At 38.8% G+C, this 6,251-nt stretch overlaps 1 non-coding gene across 1 annotated transcript; it reads left to right on the top strand.

Annotated features, from left to right (window-relative positions):
- The first annotated feature begins 1,836 nt into the window (after positions 1-1,836).
- On the top strand, positions 1,837-1,925 carry MIR5705 (microRNA 5705). The gene has a single exon (NR_049891.1). It is a non-coding gene; the product is annotated as a microRNA 5705 (primary transcript).
- The last annotated feature ends 4,326 nt before the right edge of the window (positions 1,926-6,251 follow it).

The raw sequence follows: 6,251 nt of genomic DNA, 5'->3' as shown, positions 1-6,251 counted from the left end.
ATAAAAAGCTCCACCTGAGCTTCCAAATGTTTTCCTATGACAATCTTCATCTATAATTCTCTCTAAGAGCCCTCTCTTTCACCAAAATCCCAGTTCCAAGGGCTACTGCTAGGATGTGCAGATCACCAGACAAATATTTTTTTGCAGGGCTTCTATCTATATAAACACTTTTATTAAAAATGCTTTATAAAATTTATAGGTCCATGTGCATGCAGTATAGTGATTTTTTGATAAAGATTTAGAATAATAGGAAGATTTGTGTATTTATTGTCCGAGCAGTACATGTAAAGATTCTTCTCGGCATCCTGGTACTATCTCTTTGGTCCAGGAATCATTTCTTTTTTATCAAATGAGCCATTCCTAGCTAATTTCATATCTTTTACCACAAGAAAGGGTAGCAATGCTGTTATTATTCATAATGCCATGGCTCTTTGTAATATGTTTGTAATAAAATAATATGAATCTTCACCCCTTTCCAATACCCTGCTACCATTTATTTAATCTTAGCTACATTATGCCTTTTGACATTGCATCATCCATTGTGCTACCCATGAATACTGGGTATCACTCAGAGACAATCACTCAAAGATTGTTACTGGTACAACACAGTTCAATATAGTACAATTGTTACTGGTACAATGTTTGATGATAATCACAAATTCAAGTCTTACCCAGGGTATATATACGAGAAAACATGAATGATTCGTTGTTTATTGCTCATTTTAAATTTATCATTTAGAATGTTATAGCATCACATAGAACAACACATCTTTCAACTGTGTCTTGTCTTGAACTTTTTAGGCCATCATCATTACATTTCTAGAATTGATCTCTGCCACTCCTGACCGTACCCTACCTCCCACACACCACCAGCAGCAGAGAGGGGATTGTGGACAGAACAAAATGAACAGCCCCATTTGCACAAGGAATGTCTGTCCCTCCTCTAGGAGAGCTTAACATTGACCAGGGAGAAGAGAACACAGCATCATCACATCAGTCAGAAAGGCCCACTGTTGTGAAGAAGCAATAGTCTTAAAAGCCCTCAGAAGAGATAAGTGCAGCCACCCCCCAACCCCCAGCCAAAAGGACTGCCTGACCCATGGCATAGAACCTGCAGAGGGGATAGGATGATTTTCCTGAATGCCATTGGCAAGCGGGGTAAGGACATCTGATGTCACCCTGCAGCCCTTGGATGTTATATAGCAGAAGTGGCATCATACTCAGAACAAACTGCGAGTGGATGCATGGGTCAACACATGCGGCTTGGGCAGTGGACCTTAGATAGCTTACAACCCTAAATTAGATCTATGCCCAATGTGAGTGAGAATTATCCAAAATCAGCATGTCAGCATCATTCTGGCAGCCAAATTTCATGTAATCCTGCAAAAGAAATTCTTTGCCAACCAGAAGTAGCAGTCTGCTCTCCAGGCCACCCTCCTGAAACGAAAGCCTGGAAACAAGACCCCAGGATGATCCTATAGTTACAAGTTGCAGAGCTCCCCAGGATATCTGGTCAACCTTATACACAGGGAGAGAAAGGGAGAGTACCCCAGAGAGAAAAAACAGAGCAGGCATCCGAAGAGGACTTGGAAAATTTCATAGAGGGCACTCCAAAGAATAAGGCTCTATGAGGCACAGGACTGGGGTAAGGCCCTCACTTGCTCAGATCTGAGGGTGGTATAGGTACAGCCAATCTTCAACTGTATGCAAAGCTTAAAGGAGTAGCAGAGTAAATGTATGGTTGAAGAGAAAATGCTTGGTTAGTTTCTAATCTAAATCTTATATGATCTATATAATAATGTTTCCAAAGATGGAATGAACATCTAACATTAAAGTTCCCCATTTACACAGGCCATGAGCCCCGAAACACCCATCCCAGGATTGCTGATGGGTGTTTCGGGGCTCATGGCCTGTGTAAATGGGGAAGTTTAAACATGCCCTTGCAGCATGGCTGCCGCATGAGAGGCATGTTGGAAATACAAACTGTTGCAACCCATCTCAAACTTACAAAATCAGAATCTGCATTTTTTAAAAACTCCTAGGTAATTCATATGTTTTAGAGGCATCTTTTTTTATAACACTAACTTTGAATTTAGTGCAGCATTATGTGAACTGGGCTGTTCTGTACATGTGATAATTACAACGAATTTAACAGTTACCCTTGTGTTTATGTCTTCACAAATTACGTGAGAAACCGTAAGGGGGAAATGCCAATCCCTGTCCTAAGAGTGCTCTCACGCTTTCTACTATTTGCTTCCTCTTGTGTCTAAAAGTTTTCAGACAGCTCATGACCTTTTCTATTCAGCTCTTCAAATCTGCCAAGTGTTTTGCTGAAACCCCTTCTTTATCTGATTGGATGTATTACATCTGATCAAATTTGCCTGTCAGCTGCTTGCAGCAAGGGTGGAATTACAGGAAAGTTAAGTGGGAACTTACTTGTATTTAATGGGAATCTTTTATAGTAAAAGTAATCACAGTGAAATCAAAGCAAGTACATTCTGACTTGCCTAGGGTGCAATCATGTCTCATTCAAACTAACTTCACAAACCCAGTGAGCAGCTAGAGAATATTCATAAATTCACATCAAAACACTTATGAAAAGTGAAGTCATTTACCAATTGCACTCCAGTAATGATCCATTATCTCAATAGAGATCTTCTTACTTTTAAATGTGAGGCTAACTTGTATAAATTAAGACTTAAATATTCCCAAACAACACTGAAAACCAAATTGCCTGTTCCCATACCTAATTCCAATAACTAGGATTTTTCACTTTTTTTTTTTTCTTTTTGAGACAGAGTCTCACTTTGTCACCCAGGCTGGAGTGCAGTGGTGTGATCTTGGCTCACTGCAGCCTCCATTTCCCGGGTTCAAGGGATTCTCCAGCCTCAGCCTCCTGAGTACCTGGGTTTATAGGCATGCACCACTACATCCAGCTAATTTTTGTACTTTTAGTAGAGACAGGGTTTCACTATGTTGGCCAGACTGGTCTCGAACTCCTGGCCTCCAGTGATCAGCCCGCCTCGGCCTCCCAAAGTGCTGAGATTATGGGCGTGAGTCACTGCACCCAGCCCTGGATTTTTTGACTTTCTGTTTCTCAACACCTCTTTCCTTCTGATGGCTCTTTACTAATTAGTTCAGACTTCGTTCAATTAATTTGATGCATTTAGTTCTCTACTTCTCTTCCATTGTTCTCTTTCTCTTTTCAGCCTTCTCTTTCTAAGCTTCTCCCCACATTCTAATCTAGTCTGGAAACATAGCCTATTTTTCAGTCATCAAAACTATCCTGTATTACCTATGTAGCAGGAAAAAAAAAAAGACCACTTGATGTTGAATTCAATTTGGAATGATGTGATTTAAATATTTCAAACAATATTGCAGTTCCAGTGTACCTTGTTATCTAACAATATTGCACATTTGAGAGTATTATTTTCTATGCTGGTGAATTTAATGTAGAAATATTCAAGATAAACTACAACAACTCATAGACTTTTTCAAGCCAAAACAAGGCTTTTTCTACAATTCATTCAAGAAAAGATATTCACTCGGCAACTTTGATAGGAAATACATGATGCTAGAATGTAGAAAAATCAGAGAGGAAGATGTGATCCTTGCTTTAAAGATGTTTACAACAGATCAGCTAATCCAGCCTGTTTGTAAATAACAACTCACTCAAAGAAAAATAGGGTTAGTCCCTTTGAAAAGTTACTAACCAAGTGCTTTGTGAATAGACAGCATGATTAATTTGGGTGACAGGGCAAATCTTTGCTGAGGAGATGCAATTAAAGATATTAAAGAGGAGGAGGTGCAAGAATATGCCACAGGGAACAAACATGCATGTTGGTACAAAATGTTTTACAAGTTGTGCGTTTGTAGCATGGTAAGTCATCCAGGGTCAACATGGATCATGCACCTGGGAATCTGGGGGAATAACAGCTTGGAAAAGATGTTTGGGGCCCAACAGTACAGAGTTTCAAAAAACATGTTGACAGATTTGGATTTTATTGAGGCAAGCCATGCAAGAGTAGAGTACATAAAACCAACGAGATCAGATCTGTGGTTGAGAAAGACAAAACTAGCACTGAAGTGGAGGATAGAGCACAGAAGAAAATAGTAAGTTATAAAATAACCAATTTATAAATAAAGATAAATATATGTATGCTATTAAATTTCACAATACAGGCATATATACAGTCACAATATAAAACCATGCAAAATTTCAAATTGCTATAAGTACATTTATCTGAGCCATGTATTTAATAGTTATGTATAGATTATCTATTATTGACCATGGAAAAAGTGAAGTTAACATATTATAGCTGGTATTTATTGATTACTTTCTACCCACCTTTATTTCAGAAAGGATTTCCAGTGCTTACAAGAGTATCTAAAATTATAAAGTGCACAAGTCTTGAGGCAATAAGAGAGTACAGCATAGTGATGAGTTCTCAGATTTTGAACTAAATATAAGGGGGGCAAGATACAATATTAAAATAACCATTGCATGTAAACAGAATTACCATATGATCCAGCAATTTCACTTCCGGGTATATACCCAAAGGAATTGAAAAGAAAACTCAAATAGATATTGGTACACCCACATTCATAGCAGCATTATTCACAGTAGCCAAAAAGTGGAAGTAACCCAAATATCCATCAATGGATGAATGGATAAACAAAATGTGGCATATACATACAGTAGAATACTATCCAGCTTTAAACAAGAGGAAAATTCTGACACCATGCTACAACATGGATGAACCTTGAGGACTTTATGCTAAGTGAAATGAGCTAGTCACAAAAGTACAAAGTATAAATAGTGTATGATCCCACTCATACGAGGTATCTAGAGTGATCAAATACACAGAGACAGAAAGTAGAATGGTAGTTTCAGGGGCTGAGGGGAATGGAGAATGGGGAGTTATTATTTAATGGGTACAGAGTGTCAGTTTAGGAAGTTGAAAAAGTTGTAGAGATGGATGGTGGTGATGGCTGCAAAATATGAATGTAGTTGATACTACTGAACTTTACACTTAAAAATAGTTAAAATGGTAAACTTTATATTATGTATATTTCACCATAATTTTTTTTTTCAAGACGCAATCCTTTTCTGTCACCCAAGCTGGATTTCAGTGGCACGATCTTGGCTCACTGCAACTTCTATCTCAGGGATTCAATGATTCTCTTGCCTCAGCCTCCCGAGTACCTGGGATTACAGGTGCCTGCCACCATGCCTGGCTAATTTTTTTTGTATTTTTAGTAGAGACAGGGTTTCACCATGTTGGCCAGGCTGGTCTCAAGGTCTCAAACTCCTGACATCAGGGGATCTGCCCATCTTGGCCTCCCAAAGTGCTGGGATTGCAGGCATAGTCACCATGCCTGGCCCATAATTTTTAAACGTTTAAATTTTATTTATTTATTTATTTATTTTAGATAGGGCCTTGCTCTTTTGCCAGGCTGGAGTGCAGTGGCTACATCACAGCTCACAGCAACCTCGACCTCCTAGGCTCAAGCAGTCCTTGCACCTCAGCCTCTTGAGTAGCTGGGACCACAGGTGCACACCACCAAGACCAGCTAATTTTTTGTATTTTTTTTGTAGAGATGAGATCTTGTCATGTTGCCCAGGCTGGTCTCTAACTCCTGGGCTCAAGCCGTCCTCCCATTGACCGTCCAAAGTGCTGGGATTACAGGCCTGAGCCACCAGGCCCTGCCAATGTTTAAATTTTTAAAAAGAACCATACCACCTAAGTTATTCTTAATCTTAATGGCTACATATAATTGTATTATATTCATCTATTGCATTATTTATGATTACATAATTGGTTTGTTTCTATCAACCTTTACTAAGCCCCTTGTACATCTCCAGAGCGATGCTAGGCGGAAACTGGTGATATAAAAAGAATCTTTAAAGGTCCAATGAGAATAGAAATTATATGCTCCATTAATCAATATGATATAAAAGGGATTTAATCCTTTCAAACATTGGCAAACACATATAGAGGGCTTATTATTCTCTGATACACTTTCCTACAAACCTTACATCCATTTACTCATTTAATCATCACAAAAAATCCTGTGAGGTAGGGATTTCAACTGGCTACAATTTAAAGATAAGCAACTGTAAAGTGTCAATACCTTGTCATCCAAGGCCACACAGCCAAGGAATAAATGGTGGAGTTGTCAGTTCAGCTACAGTATCCATGGTCTTAATCATCAGCTAGAAGGCCTCTCATGTGAGGAGGTTGTATTTT

This window comes from Homo sapiens, chromosome 4 (genome assembly GCF_000001405.40).
Source record: "Homo sapiens chromosome 4, GRCh38.p14 Primary Assembly".
In the NCBI taxonomy this organism is placed as follows: domain Eukaryota; kingdom Metazoa; phylum Chordata; class Mammalia; order Primates; family Hominidae; genus Homo; species Homo sapiens.
This window is presented reverse-complemented; position numbering and strand designations above follow the sequence as displayed.